Source organism: Homo sapiens, chromosome 5, assembly GCF_000001405.40.
Source record: "Homo sapiens chromosome 5, GRCh38.p14 Primary Assembly".
Taxonomy (NCBI): Eukaryota; Metazoa; Chordata; class Mammalia; order Primates; family Hominidae; genus Homo; species Homo sapiens.
Window position 1 is genome coordinate 5,300,832 of NC_000005.10, and position 24,317 is coordinate 5,325,148.

Consider the following 24,317-nt stretch of genomic DNA (forward strand, 5'->3'; position numbering starts at 1 on the left):
CATTTTGTTCAGAAATCACGTCCAGCCAGGCATGCATAGAACTGGAGCAGTTTCAGGATGTTCCTGGATCTCCTGGAGCTTGAGGTCCAAACCTTTTTGATTGTATTTTCTTACTTAGATATCTGTATACCTCGATCCAGATTGTGGAATTAGAGACACTCAAATGTGTTTATAAAGGCTTTGAAGTATAAGAAAAACACTTGTTTTGGACAATGAATTTTTATTTTTATTTATTTATTGTATTGTATTCTATTTTTTGAGACAGAGTCCCGCTCTGTCACCCAGGCAGGACTGCAGTGATACAATCACAGCCCACTGCTGCCTTGACTTCCTGGGCTCAAGTGATCTTCCTGAGTAGCTGGGACTTCAGTTGTGTATCACCTCACCCAGCTAATTTTTGTATTTTTTGTGTGTGGAGATGGGTTTTTGCCATGTTGCCCAGGCTGGTCTCAAGCTCCTAGGCTTAAGCATCCTCCTTCTAGGCTTATTCCTCCTGCCTCAGCCTGGAATTACAGTGCTGGGATTACAGGCGTGAGCTACCACACCCAGCCTAGACACTGAATTTTTTGAATGCTGAATAAAACTTGCATATACTGCCTGCTCTGAACCATGTTAAAAATATGTTTACACACAGAAAGCACTGGAAGCAACAGTCGTAGTGATGTTCATAGAAGGGATCATAGCGGGATTTCCCTTCTCCTTTCTGTCTCTCACTGTGTAACTTGGGTCCACAAATGCCATTCTCGAGAACACTTCTCCCAGGTGCCGTGGCTGCTGCCAGAGGCACCTCCGGAGTTCCTGGCCAAGCTCTCTGGGCTTCTGCTTTGACACCTAACCTGAGGGTGACTGTGGGGTTCAGTGTGGGGGCACAGGATGGAGGGTCAAAGGAGAAGCCTGAGCATCTTCACAAGTCCTCGGGTTTACCCTGAGATTCAGGAGCAAGTCACTGTTGCCCTAACTCTACTCAGCAATGCCGTAGAGTGGAAGACAGGATGCCCCTGTCCTGGGTTCTCAGCACAGACACAGCTGCAGGCAGAGCCTCGCAGGCGACCCCTAGGTGGGACCCCTGGTGCCCTGCACTGATGTGCTTGCAAGGAGGTGGTGAGGAAGCCAGCTCCCCTCTCATCCCCTTGTGACTGGCCCACAGGGAGTTGCACAGGGAAATTAACATGAATGGAAATCATCAAGTCCTCAGAAGTGACTCCAGGAGGCAGCTCAAGCCCTCCTGCCCAGTGAGTCCCTGTTATGGCGCCATGTTTCCCCCTTCCTCTTGACGGCCTCTCCAGGGTGCACACCAAGCCCTCCTGCAGATGGGCTTGTGCAAAACCAGCTGAGGCTTGGTAGACACACTCAGGCACAGTGTCTTGATCAAAGGTGATGCCACTGGGCAAAGCCTGGCTCAGACTCCACTCTGCACCCCATCACTTGACAACATGCACGTTGATGGGGTCTACTTTAATCACCAGGAAAGAAAAACACATTTACAAGCATCAACAGCTGCTAACAAATTGAAAGAAAGATAATCAGACATGATGAGCCTCCTGCTGGAAGAATGCCTGATAACTTACGCAATAATCATACGAGAAAGGAGAACCAGGATCTAAAGAAGCCTCTAGAACCAACCACTAAAGAATGAAAAGATAGAGGACAGAGAAACACAAGAACCAACACCACAGAGATGTAATTCCAAGAATCCTGTAACCAGCAAAACACACTGTGGAAGACTCAGTAAGGGAAAGATCCGGTTTCTTTAACAAATACATTGAACATAAAAATAAAATTTAAGGTAAAGCCTAAAGACTAAAAGAGAAGATGTGAATCTGTTGCACAATCTGGACTTTATTAGGATCCTCAAACAAACATATTAAATTATGATATTGATGACACAGCTGGGAATTGGAACACTAGCCCTTCAGGGATGTTAACGAATCATTAATGCTCTAGATGTTATGGTGATATTACGGTTATGTTTTAAAAAATCCTTATTTTTTAGAGATGCATATTGAGATATTTTCATGTCTGGAATCACCTTCAAAACGCTGTAGGGGTTGGGGGCATACACTGAAAATTGTGAAGGCTGAGTGGACAGGAACCCAGAGGTGTTTTATTTTTTATATGTTTGAAATTTTGCATTTTTTAAAAAAGAAGAGAACAGACACACTGTGCCGAATAGGGTTCTTTCCAAGTCCACTGGAACCCAAAAGCCAGAGGAAGGGAAAGAATGACAGAGCATGAATCAGGATCAGGGAGGTGAGAAACAGCAGGCGCAGGGAGACTCCGGTAGGAATGCTCACCCAGGAAAGGTGGAACTGAAAATAACGGCACACACACGACCGTGGCTGGGAAATCGCGCCGCTGCCTCCACATCAGATGTGGGGCCGCTTCTATCAGAGTGATGGAGCCATCCCTCACCGAGGTCTCTTTGTCCCTGCCCAGCTGGTCCGTGGGGAACTGGAGTGCCTGCAGTCGGACGTGTGGCGGGGGTGCCCAGAGCCGCCCCGTGCAGTGCACACGGCGGGTGCACTATGACTCGGAGCCAGTCCCGGCCAGCCTGTGCCCTCAGCCTGCTCCCTCCAGCAGGCAGGCCTGCAACTCTCAGAGCTGCCCACCTGCATGGAGCGCCGGGCCCTGGGCAGAGGTAACCAGGGTGGGGTTGGCATGGGTGGCAGCAGGGCCCCTGCATGATCTGCTGTGTTGCACATGGCCCTCACTGGGTGCTTATCCTGACTGTTCTGTGCAGTGCTCACACACCTGTGGGAAGGGGTGGAGGAAGCGGGCAGTGGCCTGTAAGAGCACCAACCCCTCGGCCAGAGCGCAGCTGCTGCCCGACGCTGTCTGCACCTCCGAGCCCAAGCCCAGGATGCATGAAGCCTGTCTGCTTCAGCGCTGCCACAAGCCCAAGAAGCTGCAGTGGCTGGTGTCCGCCTGGTCCCAGGTAGGTGCACTGGTCTCGCGGGAGCGAGGTTGACTAGCTCTCCCCTCGGGACTGCCTCTTCTCTCCTGGTTTTTCTCTTCTCACTTCTCTCTCTTCTCCCCTTATATCTCTTCTTGGCTTCCTTGCACCTTCTCAGCTTCCAACAACTTCATGGGGTTGCTTAATCTCCTTTGGCTTCTGAATCGTGTCCTGGGAGCAAATCACACAGTGGCGTCCACGTCATCATCACTGGTCCAGCGTGGAGCAGAGGACGAGAGGGTTGAGGGGGTGTGAGCGTGAGAATAGGGGTTCACTCATCTCACTGACAGCGGGGCCCTGGAGACTCACCTAACTCCTGGGCAGGTGTAGCCACATTCCAGGAAATGCGCGGCTCCTGAAGAGCAGGAAGAACATGCGTTGCTTGGGAAGAAACAGTACCCATTTCCTGAGACAAGTTTCCGGGGGCAGCTGTTCTATTTGCGAAAGGAAACTCTCCTGTTAGTTTTGTTGAAATCGATCACCTGTTGCTGCAGGAGGCTGGGAAGCCGTTTCCTCTACACCATTCAGGAGCTGTCCTGGAGCCCTTCATCATGGGAATAACGTTGGAATCATGAGTTTGGAATACTGATGGTTTCATGACCAGCTTTGGACCAAGTGGTTCCAAAAGCACTTTGGAAATCTTACACCCCACAGAGTGGCAACAGCACCACCAGCCAAGCATGAACCTGTCTGAACGGGGTATTGAGAGATCACCGTAACCCAGAGCTGTGCCTCTGCATTGCCACAGCAGCTGTGGGAAGAAAGCTCCTCCCTGATCCCACGCTCCTCAGGGAGGGACCCGGATCTCATCAGGCACTGCGTTTTCTCCACCCTCGAACGATGGCTTCTTTGTTCAGATTGGTAGGAAGTGCCAAGCAAGGCATTGAATCCTGTTGAGACTCTGTTTCAGTTTGTTACTAAAAAATAAGAACACCCTTGCTCGCTTAAGTGAGCTTGCCATTGCTAACAATGCACTTCAGGTCCTCTTTCACCTGGAGGGTAGGAATGAGTGTCCCACAGAACTGAACGCACTGTCATTGGAAAAGACACATCCCTGGGTGCATATCCCTAGAGGCAGAGTCTACAGAAAATAAGCGATGTGGGCTGCATAATCTATGGGCTGTGTCCAGGTAGAAAGTCCTTGCCCTGAAATTTAATACATGCACACACATCCCACACCACACACACACACACACATCCTACACCACACACACACACACATCCCACACCACACACACACACACACATCCATCCCACACCACACACACACATCCCACACCACACACACACACACACATCCCACACCACACACACACACATCCCACACCACACACACACCCCACACCACACACACACATCCCACACCACACACACACACATATCCCACACCACACACACATCCCACACCAAACACACACACATCCACACCACACACACACATCCCACACCACACACACACAATCCCACACCACACACACAATCCCACACCACACACACACATCCCACACCACACACACACACATCCCACACCACACACACACATCCACACCACACACACACACATCCCACACCACACACACATCCCACACCACACACACACAATCCCACACCACACACACACACACATCCCACACCACACACACAACCCACACCACACACACACATCCACACCACACACACACACATCCCACACCACACACACACAATCCCACACCACACACACATCCCATACCACACACTCACACATCCCACACCATACACACACACACACACACACGTCAGAGCTTCTCTCTTAGGCCTGGATCAGCGAGCAACCAAGAGGAGTGTTCCAAGTCCTCTCCATCTTCGATCAGGATGCACAAAAAGCACACCTGTAAGCCTAAAGATGTGAGTGCAAGGTCAGGACCTGGGCAGGTGTTGCCACCTGGGCTCCTCTGCTGGGGAACCTGGGGACACTTCAGCCAGAGGTCCACTGGAGCTGCACAGCATCGTCCGCTCTACCCCAGCAGGAGACAGCAACGCCAGGGGCCGGGACCTCTGTCCCAGAGACCCTCCGCGCCCAGTCTGTGGTGGGACAGTGTGCCTTGCTCCTGTGTGTTCTCCCTGCAAGTGGGGGCTGCAGCCTCCTGCCTGGCCTGCTCGTTTGCACAGGGCACCTCTGCACAAGCCAGGGTGTCTGCAACTGGAGCAGCTCAAGCTTAGAGCCTGCCTTAGTGGAGAGCTAAGGGACGTGCTCTCCACGCACGCTTCCTTTCCTCGCAGGCAGCACTCAGATGCCTAGGGAAGATTGTGAGCCCTGAGTTTCTTCTACCTGCCCCAGCTTTAGGGGCCAACATCACTGCATTTGCGTGGGTTAATCCATGGACCCGTGGTAGTTACCACATGTACTTATGTATTAAGTTTCAGTATGCTTCGATATCAGTGACAGCCCAACATTTTAATTTTCCAGTGAAACGGTAGCTTTAGAATTACTCCCTTCATGGTTTCTGACTGCCCTGCCCCTACTTATGCCCCATGATGCTGTGCCACTGACTTCAAGTTCCTCTTATTTTTAATGATAGATTCTATAATGTCTCTTAAAAATGCTAAGGTCCAATAATTTTCACTGAATGTTCACACTTATATAAATGTTCAAGCAGATATCTCTGATATTTTAACCCACAGATTTTGCAAAAAAAGAGATTTTTTTCACTGACTTCTTTTGTTCTCTTCTTTTTAGTGCTCTGTGACATGTGAAAGAGGAACACAGAAAAGATTCTTAAAATGTGCTGAAAAGTATGTTTCTGGAAAGTATCGAGAGCTGGCCTCAAAGAAGTGCTCACATTTGCCGAAGCCCAGCCTGGAGCTGGAACGTGCCTGCGCCCCGCTTCCATGCCCCAGGCACCCCCCATTTGCTGCTGCGGGACCCTCGAGGGGCAGCTGGTTTGCCTCACCCTGGTCTCAGGTAGGGGAGGCCCTCGGTTCCTGGAGAGTGGGCGAGCACAGCTTGGCCTGGGGTTGGCCGCTGGCTCCCGGGGATGCTTCTGCGAGGGTGTTTTCCCCAAAGCTGGCCAAGCTACTGCATGAGGTTTTCTTTCCAGAGCATGTGCGGGTGGCCTGGTTCCTGGGTGTGGGTGTGGCTTTCTGAGGATGGTCTCCAAGTGTTGCTGAATCTTTTAGGGCACATATGTTTTCCTCTAAATGTCACCCAATTAAGTATAAGGAAATGCAATGCCTTGGGTAAAATCTGGGCTGAATTCCCCAGAGATGAGTGTGAACAGGAAAGGAATGCGAGCCCTGGGATAAATAGGTGGTTGTTCTTTTCAGCCCACCCTCAGCCCTCACTGTTTCCTGATCGGGTCGCTAGCAGCCTCATGCCCACCATGGAGCGGGGGTTCCTTCCTCGGGGTCTTTGTTCCTGTGTTTCTCCTCGTCTGTGCCCGCGCCTCCCACCACCCCTGCGATGCTGCTGGCATTTCTGCTTTCGGGTCGGGGTGGGCCCAGACCCCTTAGGAGTTCCGAAGGCTGACACTCGGTTCTCTGCAGCACACTGCAAGCGTGTGCACTGGCTTGTGGCTGCCCGGTAGAGAGGCGCTTCATCTGGTCTCCTTTTCCCATCTCTTGGCTGGGAGAGTGAGCCTCTTTCTAATTTACACAGAGGCCCTCTGCCTGCTGCAGAGGCCCTGGCTCTGATTCTCTCCTTTTGGAGAGATGGAGGTGGAAGGAAGCAGGCGGAAGGGAATAGGAGTGACTGCGTGTGGCAACAGCCCCTACATGTGCTCTCTCACTGTCTCGCCCATCTCCATGTGGGTCCCTAACTGGGTGCCACAGTGGAATGGACAGGAATAAGTGCAGGGACAACAGCTAGCCACCGTGGAGAGCCCTGTGTGCTGGCGCTGCTCTGAGTCAATTCCTTTCTCTCTCCTATTAGCCCTCTAAGGGGGTAACCTTATCATCCCTATTTCACAGATGAGGCAACTGAGGCACAGAGTCAGCTCCCACAGCGCTAGTGAGAGGCACAAGCTCACCTGCTCGATGGGGTCCACACGTGTCATTTGGCTTTGGAGAATAGTCACTGCACTGGGGTCCTTGGGTCCTAGACATGGTCCTGCCCGGCGCCCTCTGCTCTATATCCCCACTTCTAGGAGGCAGACAGAGGTTGCATTTCCTGGGCGAGGGCAGCAGAACAAAGACCCGGTCGAAGCCTATTGTCATGGGGGCTGAATGCTGGTTGCTAAAAAGCAAATGACAATGACCTCATGCATGTGCTTCTGCTTCCCACCTCATCAAAACACCTCCGCCTCCGGCCAGGGTTGCATGACCATAACAGGTGGCACACCCAAGGTGAAGTCTTACGTTGATCGTGCCACCAAGACACCCGTCACCAAAGCCTTTCCCGCATCCTCCGTGGTTTCCAGCATCTGATTCCAGAGGCCATTGGGCTGTGGCCTGTGCTCTGTCATTCAGAAAAACTTTCACAGGTCTTTGCCTGTCTCCAAAGACATTTCCCAAGTGATCAGCGTGGTGTCTGGTGCCATAGGAATAACCCTATCCACAGTGTACGTACAGCCTTCCCTCTCTGCCCACCTCTTGCCACTGTCCACAGAGAAGTCCGTGCTTGGCCTCTCACAAGAGTCCTCTTCCCAGTTTGCCCACTCATCCACCTCTTCAGGCCAACCTGTTCTGGGTCCCCCTGCACTGTACCAGGTGTTGCTGTGAGCTATCAGCATAACAAGCCCATCCCAAGGAGGAGGGAGCACCCTCCCAGGGAGCACCTCACACCCTCAACCTCCCCCAGGGCCTGTGCTAAAAGGAAGTATGGACAGAAAACAGACAGCTGCCTGGACACGCTTCCCATCCCATTGTGGGCCCCGAGCCTAGTAAGGCCAGCATAGATCAAGGCTACTCAAAAGCAGATAGGATCCCTGTAATCCCAGCACTTTGGGAGGCCGAGGCACGTGGATTACCTGAGGTCAGGAGTTTGAGACCAGCCTGCCCAACATGGTGAAACCCTGTCTCTACTAAAAAATACAAAAATTAACCGGGTGTGGTGGTGCACGCCTGTAATCCCAGCTACTCAGGAGGCTGAAACAGGAGAATTGCTTGAACCCAGGAGGCAGAGGTTGCAGTGAGCCTGGATGGCACCACTACACTCCAGTCTGGGTAACAGAGAGAGACTCCGTCTCAAAAAAAAAAAAAAAAAAGCAGATTGGATCACATGAAAACCATCAAGAATGATGTTTATCCAGATTGCTTTGTTATGCTATGTGTTTTACATGTATATTCTATATATTTACCAGTGTGCATATTCACTCACATACGCACTCACACACACATGCATAAACCACATATACAGTCATCCCTCTCTACGGGAATTGGATACCAAAATCTGAGGATGCACAAGTTCCTGATAGAAGATGGCACAGTATTTGCATGCAGCCTACACACATCCTCCAGGTGGCTGAAGCCATCTCTGGATTGTTAATAATGCCTAATACATGCTGCACACTTCTTCGTTCTCATGGCGTCAATGTAGTAAGTGGTGCGCTTTTTGGAATTTTGTGAAATTTTTTTTTCAAATATTTTTGATCTGCAGTTGGTTGATTTGGTTGGTTGATTTCAGGGATGTGCAACCCACAGATAAGGAGGGCTCACTGTCTTTGATATACCATATATATGCCAGCCATGCGCCTAACCCATAGTAAGTATTCAGGAAATGCTTGCTGAATGGTGAATTTTAAAGGAAAGGCAAATTCAATGAGCGGGTCCCGGCAGCTACTAATATTCCGTCTTTAGAGAAGTTTCCTCCTGCAGCACAGAACATCAAAGCACACACTGGTCTGGGGTTTTTCTTTCATTGTGCGTGGATACTGTGCATCTGTTGAGAGACCTGGTTTTGACAGTATCATCTTTAAAAGCCAAAGGTAACCCTCACTGGCCAACCATGTGCTTCCTGGCTGCTGACCCATGATGCAAGTGGAAACAGATACACCCAAGCACACTGCTGGTTTGGGGTGGGCTGGAGAGTGCATGTGTGGGTTTAGGAGAGACAGGTCATGTCCTCGTGTGTGTGTGTGTGTGTGTGTGTGTGTGCATGTGATCAGAAGAGGGAGAGGCGCTGCCAGAGAAAGCAAACGGAATGTGGCCAGACGAGCTCATAAACAGTCGTGCACAGTTCACATCCCAGTCAGGTGGCCAGGTCCCCTAGTAACCAATTTGATTGGGTTTTTAAGGATTGAAGAATTCCTGAGACTGACCTGCCAGTGGGGCAAAACCCACCATAGGCCACTCCGCAGGCAGAGGAGTGCAGAAATTAGTGCAGGTGCCTGTTGGGCAGCCGGGGTCAAGGTGTGAACAAAGGAGGCTGAGCTCAGCAGCCAAGCATCCCCCAAATGCTTGGTCAGATGGAACCATTTGTCCCTGACGATGACCAGCTCTCCCCAAGCCTGTGTCTCTCCTCTCATGTCCACCATCCTCCAGCTCGTAGGACCCCACCCACACTGCGCAGCCCATCTCTCATCCTTCCTAGCCCCCAATTCCCTTTTCTGTGGCCACTTCCAGCCCGCCACTGGTCATCTCTCCTCTGGAGAGGGACCCCACACTGTGTCTCATTGGCAGCGTCCTGCGCTGAGTAATGTCTCCAAAACTCATGTCCACCCGGGACCTCAGAATATAATCTTATTGGAAATAGATGCAGATGTAATGACCTGGGCTGACATCATCCTGGATTAGAGTGGGCACTAAACTCAAAGACTGGCTGTCCTCGTGAGAAGACCACAGGAAGACACAGAGACTCCTCACATGGGGAGCAAGTGGTGGGTGGCACTGGCTGTGTGATGGGTGACAGAGGCAGGCATCGGAGTGGTGCCCATATGACAAAGAACACCGAGGACTGCCAGCACCACCAGATTCTGCACCAGGCATGACGGGCCCTCCCTCAACCTCCAGAAGGCACCACCTCTGCTGCTCATACCTTAATTTTGGATTTCTGGCGTCCTAAACTGTGAAAGAATAAATTTCTGTTATTTTGAGCCCCTAGTTTGTAGCAATTATTACAGCAGCCCCAGGGAACTCACATGGGTGTTATTTGTGTCCTTGTCTCATTTTGTCTGTTCCTGACCCCAGAGAGGGTCAGCTGCCTGAAGGCAAGTGCCTTCTTTCACTTTATATGCTGCAGAGCCCTAGCCCAGAGCCACGAGGACCAGAGATATGTGAGCAGCAGGGGCTGGATCTCACTGAATGCCCGTGGCTTCTGCTGGCAATTGGACTCCTCCCGTGTCAAGCTAGAGACACAGAATCAAGACCTCAGGGCCCTGTGCCTCGCAGCCCCTGTGGCCAGGACATTGAGAAGTGAGGGACTTGCTGGCTTGTCCACTCTCGGCCTTCCTGACTCCCCCTGAACCGAAGTAGCCCCAACTCTGCAGGCCTCTGGCATCACTCACACCCACCACCTACCGAGACCTAAAATCAGCATCTGCCAAGTTCAACCCAGCCCTGCACGGGAAGCTGCAATGGACCAGGCGAGTTTGACATAGGCAAAAAAAAAAAAAAAAACAAAAAAACAAAAAAACATTCTTATTGTTTTATCTAAATCTAAAGGAAACAAACAAATATTTATCTGAACCAATTTAATCCGCCCTGGAATCTTTTTTCGGTATTAGCTAAAATTTAACTAAAATAAAACCAGCTCGAAATCCCCTCCAAATGACACGACCCTTCACTCCGCTCGCTGGAGCTCCGGGTGTGCATGTGTGAGACGGCGTTGCTGTGTATTAGTCTGCTCCTTTTTTTTTTTTTTTTTTGAGATGAAGCCTTGCTCTGTCACCAGGCTGGAGTGCAGTGGGGTGATCTTGGCTCACTGCAATTTCCGCCTCCCCAGTTCAAGTGATTCTCCTGTCTCAGCCCCCCGAGTAGCTGGGACTACACGTGCACACCACCATGCCCAGCTAGTTTTTGTTTTTGTTTTTTTTGGTTGTTTTTTTTTTGAGATGGAGTCTCACTTTGTCACCCAGGCCCAATCTCGGCTCACTGCAAGCTCCGCCTCCCGGGTTCAAGCCATTCTCCTGCCTCAGCCTCCCAAGTAGCTGGGACTACAGGCACCCGCCACCACGCCTGGCTAATTGTTTGTATTTTTTAGTACAGTTGGGGTTTCACCATGTTGGCCAGGATGGTCTCGATCTCCTGACCTTGTAATCCACTCGCCTCAGCCTCCCAAAGTGCTGGGATTACAGGCGTGAGCCACTGCACTCGGCCATCGGTTCGCTTCTTTAAAAACCGTAGTGTCCGAGCCTGTCTGCTGCTGTATTTCTTTATTTCTCCACAGAATGTTTGGTCCCAGTCCCTGAGCTCTGCAGGGACTGGGAACCCGGGGAGAAGCAGCTTGTAAAGAGCTCTCCCCAGCTCTGCGTGCTTTGCTGTGTTGTGGGCCAGCTCCACCTCTGCTTCCTGTTTACCTCCAAACCAGATGCAGCTTTTTCATTTAGAAATACATGAACCCCTCCCCCAAAAGTATTCCAGTTAGAAATAAATAATTGAAATTAAATTATTGGAGCAGGGAGCATTTGAACTCTATCCTTTGCAAGCATGTCCTATTTTAAATGGACAAAAAGTATCAGTAGCTACAAACTTTGCCCAGGAGACCTCTTGTCATTTTCTCTCTTTTTTTGTTGTTTTTTGTTGTTGTTATTTTTTTTTTTTTTTTGAGACAGAGTTTTGCTCTTGTCACCCAGGCTGTAGTGCAGTGGTGCAATCTCAGCTCACTGCAACCTCCACCTTCCAGGTTCATGCAATTCTCCTGCCTCAGCCTTCCAAATAGCTGGGATTACAGGTGTGCTCCACCACTCCCAGCTAATTTTTGTAATTTTAGTAGAGACGGGGTTTTGCCGTGTTGGCCAGGCTGGTCTCGAACTCCTGACCTCAGGTTCGAGAAGTGGATTCGCCCACTTCGGCTTCCCAAAGTGCTGGGATTTCAGGCATGAGCCGCTGCACCCAGCCCCCTTCCTTTTGTTTTCTTCTGAGTCTGCTGTCTTTTGAGTCAGGTAAAGCAGCAAGTGAGCTAGGCAGCTGAGTCGAGGCATTTCTCAGGCAGATACTTTGCCTTCTCTGTCTGTGGGAAATGTGGGTCAGGGACAAAGAGGAAACTGAGGACGCTGAAACTGAACCCTAACCTCTGGCTGCCAAGCCCACGTTCACCACCCTCCTGCTTACTGCAGAGACTTCAGGCAAATTTAGAAAGTGGAAAACAAGCTTTATCATTATTTAACGTATACCCTAAAATACATCTAAAACCTAAACTGTATCTTCAATAGCTGTTGCCGGTCTGAGATACTCAATCTGTTTGTCTAAGTCATTTTTACCACAAGCTGGCTGAAGTCTTTATCCACCATGATTCATCTGCTATGTTCTGAGGTTGTAACTTTTCCTGGGGGTGGTAATGGCTGAAAGGGCTGTGTTTACCATAGCACTTGTGCCCAAGTCTCTGCCTTCACACTGTGGGAAATTGTCAGACGGTAATGAATGGCCCGGGCCTGGCTGAACTTTGCCACCAGACAGGCTTATTCTTGTGACAGTCTAAAGATCGCCCTTCCTATTATTTGGTCTGCAGGATTTCCATTGATTTAAATGTTTTGCTTATCTTCACATTTCATGGTGCAGGGCAGCGCAGGACTGATTTAAATCACTGCAGTCATTTGGGCTTAGTGTCAGGTTGTTCCCACGCTAATTTGGTCTGGGAATGGCTTGCATGCGATCACCTGTTGGAAACTGACCCCACATGCAGAGACAGGGTGTGCCCTCAGTGCTGGGCAGTGTGGGGGGTGGGGGCTGGCTCATTCTGGGAGCTCCCCACAATTTGGTCAATTTGTGACCAGGACAGCGCACACACTGATTTGGAAACTCATGGGCACTGAGGGGCAGCAGCCGTGTCAGAGAATGAATTTGATTTTCCACCGTGGCAATTAAGACTGCATGAGACTGCATTCTGCACCAAGTGCACACGGGAGCACACATGTGCCTGCGTGTGTACGCAAACACACACAGAGTGCATGGAGATCTCAACCGATGAGGCTGGGTGAACGCTGCGCAGTCCATCCCAGGGTTATCCCCTGAACCCTGATCTAGTCTCCCACCTCTGATAATTCCACACTAAATCTGCTGTCATCATCTCCCAAAATTATGTGGTGCCCAGAAAAACAAGAACCGGCCTGCTGCTGGATAGAGAAGGTGACCATGCACACCTCCTGGGTTTGAGGGAGTTTATATTTGTAACCAGTGGGATTTGTACAAAAATTCACAACGTCGGTTATGTGGACAGCAGAGGTGTCTGTGAATGAGGCCATTGAGGTCTCTGCCATCCCATCCTGAAATGAGCATGGACATTTGGTCCTGGAATAGTGGAAAGTTGCAGGGCAGAAGCTCTAAGCTGGGAGAGAGAGAGCACACCAAGGCCCTCAGGAGGAAGGTGAATAAAGAGAGGGACTTAGAGCAGGCCTCTCAGGAGAGACTTCACAGTAAGAAAATAAATGTGTGAAGCCTGTGGCCTCCAGGAATTAGCATGTATTTATTTTCTGTTCCCTTTGTTTGAGAGATGAGCTCTGCCCCGCAGGAGTCTGTGTGATTGTCAAGGCTCCAGGTGATTTTTAGGATCCGTCTGTTTGGAAGTCACCAAGGGAATGCCTGGAAGGTGAATTCTAAATGGCTGTGCTGAGTTTTAAGCCATCGTATTTGGGAGACTGAGGAACAACTTGGATTTTTTTCTTCCTGGAATGAAAAGTGAATAAACATTTTCAGGTTTCTTCTTTTTCATCTCCTAGTATATCACCATCTTTATCCATTCAAAATATTTTCAAAATGTGCAGCTGAACATCTTTCTTTCATCTTACATAAAGAAATGAAAATTTTGAGAAATGTGGAAGCTTTTCTCCCCATGGATTTTTTTCACGGGGAATTGTAAAACTCTCTGGACTAGTGCTTCTCACACCTGTGCATAGGAATCATCTGGGAACGGCACCGATTCTGACACTGTGCATCTTGGAAGCAGGGATGCTGAGAGTTGGCCCTGATAACAAGCTTCCCCACAGGCCCCTGTGGCTGGGCCAAGAACCTCACTGTGAGTAGCAAGGTTTTGCAACTGTCCTAAGGCTCAGGGCCAAGTCGACTGTGTTCATTACTTATGTCAAGTGCCTAGAACAGTGCCTGGTACTGGGGAGGTGGGCGATTGTATTAGCCCATTCTCACGCTGCTAATGAAGACATCTGAGATGGTCAATTTATAAAAGAAAGAGGTTTAATTGACTCACAGTTCCGCAGGACTGGAGAGGCCTCAGGAAACTTACAATCATGGTGGAATGGGAAGCAAACACGTCCTTCTTCACATGACGGCAGCAAGGAGAAGTGCTGAGGAAAGGGGGAAAAGCCCCTTGCAAAACCATCAGATCTCATGAGAATTCTCTCACTATCACAAGAACAGCATGGGGGTAATTGCCCCCGTGATTCAGTTACTGCCCTCCTGGTCATGCGGGGATTATGGGATTATGACACTTAGGGATTATGGGAACTACAGTTCAAGATGTGATTTGGGTGGGGACACAGCCAAACCATATCAGTGATTAAAATCTGCTGAATAAGTGAATCAGTGACAAAAATGAATCAAACCACATATTAATTATTTTGGAACTGTTTAAATGATACAAAAAAAAAAACCAATGGCTAGATCTCTTGATTTCTAATTGAGGCATATCTTAAGCAAGAATGGAATTCTGCCTGAGCCGCTTATCATAAAATAAATCTAACTCAAGAAACGAAAGATGTTGTGGACACTGATGGATGCGGATGTGGCCAAAGGGTTCCTGTGAGCTGCTGTCTCAGCAGGGTGACCACAGCCCCAAGGTTCTCGGCGCACTGTGTGAGCTAAGAGGGTGTCTGGAATGCAGACAGCAGAGAAAAAAGGCAGAAATGTGGTTCTGCAGAATGTTCCGAAAGATGTAATAAGTGATGGGCAACATCTGGCTCTATCCTTGTGACCCTGATAATTCTGAAATCAAACGTGAATCTCCCCACATTATTTTTTCTACTTTCCGTAGTCATATATTGTTGGCAACTTTTTCTAAAATTGGGTTTGAAGCAAAGGGAGTAAGCCTCCCAGATAAGTTCCAGACACATGCTCAGGGGCTCAGCCATTCCTCATCCAGAGGGGAAAAAAACAGACAAACAGTTTCAGCTTGTGACTTTCAGGGCCATTTGTGTCTCCAACTTTTCTCCTCTCAGTGGGCAGATAAAGATGTTTGACTTGCTCCATCACTGAATCCCATCCCCAGCGATTTAAGTCACTTCGTAAAGCTCTGATTGCAGGAGGTCCCAGAAAGGTTCAGTCCCTGGTTGTTCACTTGCAGGCTGGTTTGGGCTGTGGAGAACCAGCCCCAGGCCTGATGCCTTCACTTGCTGGAATGGTCTCTGACATACTCTCTTGTAGGTTTGGGGCAGCAAAGGGAGTCATGCATGTCCCCAGTTTTTCACAGTGTGATCCTTGCATTTTAAAGCAACAGTTTTGTTGTTTTTTTCACCCACCATGCACCAGGACTTCCAAAATGTTATCTGACCCAATCTTCTTGCAGGTGCTCCTTTAATTGCTTACATTTCCAACATATTCCAACCCTAGCCTCGTTTGAGCACAATTTACATGATTTAGTCTAGACAGTGGGTAGTTTTATTTTTCAGATGACTCAATCACAGATTCCAGTGTCTCTGTATCTTTAGCTGCCTAACCACTGATTTATTTTCAGTGGTTGATCTCAGATGGGTCCTGCTCATGTTCTGTGGCATGTGCATTATGCCAGCTCATGAAAGATAATCTAACTGAGCTCACTCCCTTCCTTCCCTCTCTCTCCCTGTGCTGTTGATACTCCAAGTATTGGGGGAGCCTCAATAGGATGCCAACACCTTAGCAAAATAAGCCCCAGCAGCTGGCAGTGCCCACCCTCATGCATCAGGGGCCTGGGAATGTGGGTGATGGTGCCACTGTAAAGATTGGCTTGTCAAGCTTCTCCCCGTCGGACCACCAGAAAGGGTGGCTTGTCAAGGGCATTCCCTGAAGGGCACTACTTCTTTCACGCTAGGCTCAGAGAACAAGCCTGGTATCCCCAGATATGCACCAGTTTCCTTGTGGCCATGCAACCATCATTGACACACTCAAAAATACTCTAGACTTCCAGACACTTCTCCTTCTATCCATACCTAGATTAATTTTGGCCAGCCACTCACAGTTGTAGACAGAGAGACCACCTCAAATGGTCTGGGTGGAGGGGCGGTGCTTTCAAATGCAGAGGCAAGAGGAAATGAGGGGTTACCCCAACCAGCAGTGACAAGGGCTGGTCCTGGGGACAAGAGTTAGGGAAGTAAGTACCTTTGCGCCAGGTCCCAGGTGGTAACATCAGCAACCGTGTTCTCTGAAATACCGTAAATAGAAACCAAGATGTTAAGTCTTTTCATGTTTTTCAATCAGAAGGATAACTTGTAGGTAACTTTATTGGCAGGGGGATCTAAGTTTGTTCTTCCTTGCTGCCTGTAATTTGAGGAGATAATATGCCAATCCATGAATATCAGCTTTTTTAATCAGTATACTTACTTACTTACTTACTTATTTATTTATTTTTGAGATGGAGTTTTGCTCTTGTTGCCCAGGCTGAAGTGCTGTGGCATGATCTCAGCTCACTGCAACCTCTGCCTCCCAGGTTCAGGCGATTCTCATGCCTCAGCTTCCCAAGTAGCTGGGATTACAGGTGCCCACCACCAGGCCCAGCTAATTTTTTTTCTTTTTTTAATAGAGACGGGGTTTCATCATGTTGCCCAGGCTGATCTCGAACTCCTGACCTCAGGTGATCCACCCGCCTCAGCCTCCCAAAGTGCTGGGATTACAGGCATGAGCCACCGTGCCCGGCAGTATATTTACTTTTTTAAAAAGTGAACTCAGCCCCCACAAAGCCCAAGCCCGGGAACCGTCTGTTGAGACTATAGAATCCAACTCTAGCGGTTCAAATCCCAGCCTGAGCAAGTCCTGTCACCGCTCAAGGCTCAAGGCTGTCTTCTATCTGAAAACAGGAAGGGTTCCAGGAGCTATGTCAGCTGGTTGGTTTGGAATGCTCTGCTAGAGGCCTGGCCCAGCACATGCCTGGTGCTTGCTTCTGGAAAAGGTGAGCAGGGACCGTGCTCACTCGCGCACATCGTGGCCAACCATAACTCCACCTGCCTCTGCGACTAAGTCGCTCTTCCCTCACTGGCCTGCAGCAGCAGGCCTTTTAGAAAGGTGGGCACACTGAGGTTGACCAGGTGCCTGAGAGCCTGGGGCCATGGTGACATGTGTGTGTTGCTCTCACAGTGCACGGCCAGCTGTGGGGGAGGCGTTCAGACGAGGTCCGTGCAGTGCCTGGCTGGGGGCCGGCCGGCCTCAGGCTGCCTCCTGCACCAGAAGCCTTCGGCCTCCCTGGCCTGCAACACTCACTTCTGCCCCATTGCAGAGAAGAAAGGTGAGTACATGGGGCCCCTCAGCATGACCTGGGCATGGGGCTGGAATGTCAGGTTTCTGGAGCAGTTCCTTGGGGGGCCTGGAGTTAGGGTCTTGCGTCTGATCTACCTTTTCTCTCTTTGCATCTTCTCCAGTTTTACAATGAAATGGTCCATAGAGCAGACCGGGCTGCCTCTCATGATGCCCCAGGACAACATAGATGGTAGTGACATAAGCGTGACTTCTTTCCTATATCAATGCTGTTCACTATATTTAAAGAAAGCAATCTTAACTAAAGCAGCTTTTCTCCCTAGGATAAACAAAAGCCTCCCTTATTCACTGGGTGCCCTCTAAATGCCATCCCTGTGCACACACAAAATCCCCCAGCATTGCGGAGACAGATGGCTGGGCGCCTGTTAAGGCTATTCTGAGAGATAATGTGGCTTGAGGAAGGCGAGTGGTTTGGCTCAACCAGAGAATTGGAGAATTGAAATTCAGTCAACAGAGGCTCCAATGGGTAGATGCGTGGTTGAGTGAGTGGGGTCAGCACAAGAAGAAAATTTCAGTTTTGCAGAAAACTTCCAAGAAGGCTCTTGTGAAAATAATAGGTTCCACGGGACCCCCATCAGACCTGGGGGCTGCCTCTCTGCAGCAGCCGCAGAGCGTGACAAATTCGCTTTTATTTGCCAGACAGAGCTATTAGCTGGCAACATCAGTCGCTGCACTCGGGATCGCTGAGTAATGCAGCTCTGCTCATTTTCAGATGCCTTCTGCAAAGACTACTTCCACTGGTGCTACCTGGTACCCCAGCACGGGATGTGCAGCCACAAGTTCTACGGCAAGCAGTGCTGCAAGACTTGCTCTAAGTCCAACTTGTGAGTTGGGACCGCTCTCCGTAGCAGAGAAAGTGCCTGCGTGGCACAGAAATTTCCCACAAATGAGCTGTGCAATCTACGTCGGAATACATCCAAGGAAGAGCAAAGCCAAAAGAAGAAAACCGTGTTAGGCTCTTTGACCAGGAGTGTATGTATGTGTTTCACTGTGAGCCTGGGTGCAGACCTGTGTCCCCATGCACACAGTGTCTCCTGTCAGGCTGAAATGTGGCACCCTGGCAGACAGAGCTGTGGCTCGTGAGGCAGAAGGCAGGCACCACAACGGGAGAGGCAGCACTCACCCCTGCCTGTTGCAGCTAAATCAAGTCAAAAAGACAGGCGAGGCTGAACTTGCTAAATGTCTGGTGCCTTAGAAAAAGAAGGAAAGGCCATGAAATAAGGAAAACATACAAAATATGTACCCCCTAGTTCACCAGCCTCCCCTCCCACTAGGAGGGCCCCTCGAGCCATCAGGAGTGACCAACTTCCTGGGTGGAGGTCAGGGGAGCTCCAGGAGGCTGCCCAGGCTCCTCCTCCTCCTCCCCAGCGGCCGAGCATCTCTTACCAGGAACCTGGAGCCACCGCCGGAGCCAGCGTCATCTCTAGGGTCACTGGCCAGGGGACTGCATTCTGGTTTGGGACTTTGCCTATGGAAATGGGAAAAATGAAATTCCTGCTAAGGTGCTTCTATCTCTTTCAGATTCATGCATTGAAGGAGAGATTTTTTATACTTTATGTTTTATCTTTCTCAGTTATTTGCAAGTGAGTGTCCTTTTAAAAACACACTTCTTCATGCTTTTCTTTGTAAATGACAGATCGAAGTATAGGTTACATCAAAACCCTACCATCCTGAGAAGAGTTATGGTTCTATTATAGCAGACGTCAGCCACACAGCCTATGTGACAATAACCTTAGAGTCCTGTGTTTTGTTTTTGTGTGTTGTGAGATTTTAATCTTTTTTTTTTCGGTGAGTCTGGCCATTTCTATAATGCCAGGTGGGAAGCCAGGCTGCGGGTGTTAGGGTGGGAATCTGCCCGGCGTCTCTGGCACCCTCCCTGCCATCCTCAGTGCGGCTGCTGTTCTCCTGTCCGGTGCTGTGGCTCCATTCCAAAGGGGCACCTGGATATTTATATTTGCTGAAGTTTTATAATAAAGTTTATATGGTACAGTGTGCTTCTGAACTACCTCATGATTCTTCACAAGGTTTGTTTCTGAAATCAAAGGATGGAACTAAGATACCGGGAGACAGGTCTCAAAGCGGAAGAAATGGGGCTCTAGACTGCAGGAGAAAACTAGAAATGGCCTAGAAGAAAGTGCCCCTGAGTGAAGAGGAGGCTGCAGGGGAGATGGTGGTGGTTGGTGATGGTGGCTTCCTGCTGCATTTAATTAAAAGGAGGTGGGACCTCCCCGTGCCACCTCAACTCCTATTAGTCAGGCTTCTTCAGAGGAGCAGAACCAGTAGGACATCGAGAGGGTTGGTGGGGCGGGGGATGGGGAGCAAATTATTTTCAGTAATTGGCTCTCAGGATTGCAGAGGCTGGCAGTTTTGGAATTTGGAGAGCAGGCCGGCAGGCTGGAGATACGGTAAAAGTTGATGTTGCAGCCTCGAGTTTGAATTCCACAGGACAGCAGCCTGGCGCCTCAAGCAGAGTTTCTTTTCTTTCTTTTTCTTTTCTTTTTTCCAACTTTTATTTTAAGTTTGAGGGTACATGTGCGGGAAGTATAGGTTACATCAAAACCCTACCATCCTGAGAAGAGTTATGGTTCTATTGTAGCAGACGTCAGCCACACAGCCTATGTGACAATAACCTTAGAGTCCTGTGTTTTGTTTTCGTGTGTTGTGAGATTTTAATTTTTTTTTCAATGAGTCTGGCCATTTCTATAATGCCAGGTGGGAAGCCAGGCATTATAGAAATCTTATGTGCAGGTTCGTTCCATAGGTAAACGTGTGCCATGCTGGTTTGCTGCACAGATCATCCCATCACCTAGGTTTTAAGCCCAGCATCCATTAGCTATTCTTCATGATGCTCTCCCCTCCCCCAGTCCCCCATCCTCTGACAGGACCCAGTGTGTGTTATCCCCCCCACCTCCTGTCCATGTGTTCTCATCATTCAGCTCCCACTTACAAGTGAGGAAAGGCAGTATTTGGTTTTCTTTTCCTGCGTTAGTCTGCTAAGGATAATGGCTTTCAGCTCCATCCATGTCCCTACGGTGGACATGATCTTGTTCCTTTTTATGGCTGCATAGTGTTCCATGGTGTACATGTATCACATTTTCTTTATCCAGTCTATCATTGATGGGTGTGTGGGTTGAACATGTCTTTGGTATTGTGAATAGTGCTGCAATGAATATACACCTGCATGTGTCTTTATAATGGAACAATTTCTATTCCTTTGGGTATATGCCCAGTAATGAGATTTCTGGGTTGAATGGTATTTCTGTCTCCAGGTCTTTGAGGAGCCACCACACTGTCTTCCACAATGGCTGAACTCATTTACACTCCCACCAACAGTGTAGAAGCGTTCCTTCTTCTCCACAACCATGCCAGCATCTGTTGTTTTTTGACGTTTTCATAATAGCTATTCTGACTGGTGTGAGATGGTATCTTATTGTGGTTTTGATTTGAATTTATCTAATGATCAGTGATGTTGAGCTTTTTTTTCATTTATTTGTTGGCCACAGGTAGGTCTTCTTTTGAGAAGTGTCCAGTCACGTGCTTTGCCCACGTTTTAATGAAGTTCTTCGTTTTTTTTCTTGTAAATTTGTTCCTTGTAGATGCTGGATATTAGACCATTGTCAGATGCAAATATTGCAAAAATTTTCTTCCATTCTTAGGTTGTCTGTTCACTCTGATGATAGTTTCTTTTGCTGTGCAAAAGCTCTTTAGTTTAATTAGATTCCATTTGTCAATTTTTGCTTTTGTTACAATTGCCTATGCCTATGTCCTGAATGGTATTGCCTAGATTTTCTTCTAGGGTTTTTATAGTTTAGGGTGTTACATTTAAGTCTTTAATCAATTTTTAGTTGACTTTTGTATATGGTGTAAGGAAGGGATCCAGTTTCAATTTTCTGCATATGGCTAGCCAGTTCTCTCAACACCATTTATTAAATAGGGACTCCTTTCCTCGTTGCTTGTTTTTTCAGGTTTGTCAAAGATCTGGTGATTGTAGGTTTGTTATCTTATTTGTGGGTTCTTTATTTTGTTCCATTTGTCTATGTGTCTGTCCTTGTACCAGTACCATGCTGGTACTGCAGCCTTGTGAGATAGTTTGAAGTCGGCTAGCGTGATGTCTCCAGCTTTGTTCTTTTTGCTTATTGTTCTTGGCTATTTGGGCTCTTTTTGGGTTCTATATTAATTTTAAAATAGTGTTTTTCTAATTCTATGAAAAATGTCAGTGGTAGTTTAATGGGAATAGCATTAAATCTATAAATTGAATCTATAAATTGAATCTATAAATTGCTTTGGGTGGTATGGCCATTTTCATGATATTGATTGTTCTTATCCATGAGCATGGAATGGTTTGTTTATGTCATCTCAGATTTCTTTGACAAGTGGTTTGTAGTTCTCCTTCAAGAGGTGCCTCACTTCCCTTGTTAGCTGTATTCCTAGGTATTTTATTCTTTTTGTAGCAATTGTGAATGGGAGTTCATTCATGATTTGGCTCTTGGCTTGCCTTTTGGTGTATAGGAATGCTAGCAACTTTTGCACATTGATTTTGTATCCGGAGACTATGCTGAAGTTGCTTATCAGCTTAAGAAGTTTTGGGCTGAGACAATGGGGTTTTCTAGATGTAGGATCATATCATCTGCAAACACAGATAGGTTGACTTCCTCTCTGCCTATGTGAATACGCTTTATTTCTTTCTCTTGCCTGATTATCCTGGCCAGAACTTCAATACTATGTTTAAGAGGAGTGGTGAGAGAGGGCATCCTTTTGTTGTGCCAGTTTTCAAGGGCAATGCTTCCAGCTTTTGCCCATTCAGCATGATATTGGCTGTGGGTTTGTCATGTATTGCTCTTATTATTTTGAGGTATGTTCCTTCAAAACCTAGCTTATTGAGAGTTTTTAACATGAAGGGGCGTTGAATTATATTGAAGGCCTTTTCTGCATCTATTGAGATAAATCATGTGGTTTTTGTCTTTAGTTTGTTTACGTGATGAGTCACATTTATTGATTTGCATATGTTGAACCAAACTTGGCATCGCAGGGATGAAGCCAACTTGATCATGGTGGATAAGCTTTTTGATGTGCTGCTGGATTCAGTTTGCCAGTATTTTATTGAGGATTTTTGCATCTGTGTTAATCAAGGATATAGGTCTGAAGTTTCCTTTTTTTGTTGTTGTATCTCTGCGAGGTTTTGGTATCAGGATGATGCTGGCCTCATAAAATGATTTAGAAAGGAGTCCCTCCTTTTCAGTTGTTTGGAATAGTTTCAGCAGAAATGGTACCAGCTCTTCTTTGTACCGCTGGTGGAATTCATCTGTGAATCTGTCTAGTCCAGGGCTCTTTTTGGTTGGTAAGCTATTTATTGCTGCCAGGCAGGGCTTCTGTGTTGCAGTCTGTGAAGTGCTTAACATTTCAATCAATTGACTGTAAGCAGAGTACCCTCCATAGTATGGGTGGGCCTCATCCAATCAGATGAAGGCTTTAAGAGCAAAGACTGAGATTTCCCTGAGAAGCAGCAATTCTGCCTCAAGACTGCACAGCCACATTGCCACATAAAATTCACCATTATGCCCCTTTCCCTGGGGTTGGATTTAACCAGCAGTAACTGGGACCCGGTGAGAAGCCAGTACCACTGGTGTGACAAAGGCAGACACCTGCTCTCGGGATGTCGGCTGTTGGAATGGATGGCGGGTCCCACACATGCTCTGGCTGCCTGGTCTGTGCATAACACCAGCTGTTGACGTGGCACAACAGGCTCTGCACCACCTCTTCCAATGCACAGACCCACTTATGGGAGGAGATATTCCCAATCCCATTTTACAGAGCAGAAATTCTGACAGAAAATTTATATAGCTTTTTCTGGAGTTGCCAGAGAGAAAGGGGGATTCTGCAGAATTCTACAGGATTCTGGGGAGCTGGGGGCAGCTTATTCCAAAACCCAGAGCCATTGGGTACCACAATCTTACTGACTCACCCAGGCACTGGGGCTGTCCTCTAAACCTCCATCCTTCAAACAGAAGCTTTTCAGTAATCCTTCTATCACATCGTCAATAGCCCTTCATGGGACACCTGCTGACCTTGTTCCATGAAGGAGGCAAAAATGGCCAAGATGTGGGCCTGCCTTCAAGGGCTTTTTGTTCCAGCAGTGAAATAATGTATGGCCGCAAATGGATGCACTATGAGGTTGACCATGACCACAGGATGGGGCCAGGCTGAGGGGGTGGATTTGCTTCTGTTAAGGAGGGAAATGGTAGACCAGAAACCTGGGCTCTTCAACCTGGGCTCTTACAGTGAGAAGAGAGCATGGGCAAGAGGGGCAGATGGAAGAAGCACCCATAACCTTCCCAGGATCCACCCATGATTTGTCTGCGACTTGCCAATGATCTACCCATAATTCACCCGTCACCAGTCTGTGTTCTGTTCATGACTCTGCACTTGAGACAGATGCCGGGTGGAGAAGGGTGGCGTGGCAGGTGAGGTGTTGCCTAGAGCCAGGGTTGTTGGGGCTGCAGGACTCATCGGCCAGGCACCTGGTTAGCATCTCTCACCCAGGCCGTCTCTGTGTCCCAATCCGCTGCTCCAACTGGCCTGACACACCCCTACAACGGGCTTGAGAGAGGCTGGCTTAGATCATGTCAGGCACTGGCCAAAGCCTTCGTCTGCTTCTATAGCCAACATCACAACATCCAACTGGGGTGGGCTGCATTTGCCTTAGGCTATATTTAGCATTGGCTGTGTGCCAAGCCCTGAGATGAACGCTTCATGTGCAAAGGCCCATTTGACCCTCCCTTGGGGGAGGCACCATCAATGGCCCTGTCCACGGCGGGAGGAAGAGGGAGCAGCACATCGA

General features: G+C 48.5%; 1 protein-coding gene and 1 long non-coding RNA gene across 6 annotated transcripts in view; one reads left to right on the forward strand and one right to left on the reverse strand.

Annotated features, from left to right (window-relative positions):
- ADAMTS16 (ADAM metallopeptidase with thrombospondin type 1 motif 16) overlaps positions 1–19,473 on the forward strand; it is a 179,975-nt gene extending 160,502 nt beyond the window's left edge. For 2 of the 4 annotated variants that reach the window (NR_136935.2, NM_139056.4), the window contains 5 exons: positions 2,437–2,638; positions 2,741–2,935; positions 5,673–5,897; positions 17,303–17,450; positions 18,192–19,473. Coding sequence is in view for 3 of the 4 variants with exons in the window: in NM_139056.4 (NP_620687.2) it covers positions 2,437–2,638; positions 2,741–2,935; positions 5,673–5,897; positions 17,303–17,450; positions 18,192–18,307 (886 nt within the window). In the remaining variant the exon portion in view is untranslated. Of the gene's footprint in view, positions 1–2,436; positions 2,936–5,672; positions 5,898–17,302; positions 17,451–18,191 lie in introns of those variants that run through there. The other 2 variants (XM_047416874.1, XM_047416875.1) reach the window with 2 other exon arrangements.
- LOC101929200 (uncharacterized) overlaps positions 1–24,317 on the reverse strand; it is a 163,580-nt gene that overhangs the window by 42,282 nt on the left and 96,981 nt on the right. The window contains exons 3-4 of one of the 2 annotated variants that reach the window (XR_001742583.3): positions 18,866–18,947; positions 16,331–16,373 (exon numbers count right to left, since the gene is read on the reverse strand). This is a non-coding gene — a long non-coding RNA (uncharacterized LOC101929200). Of the gene's footprint in view, positions 1–16,330; positions 18,948–24,317 lie in introns of both variants that reach the window. The other variant, XR_007059119.1, reaches the window with a different exon arrangement.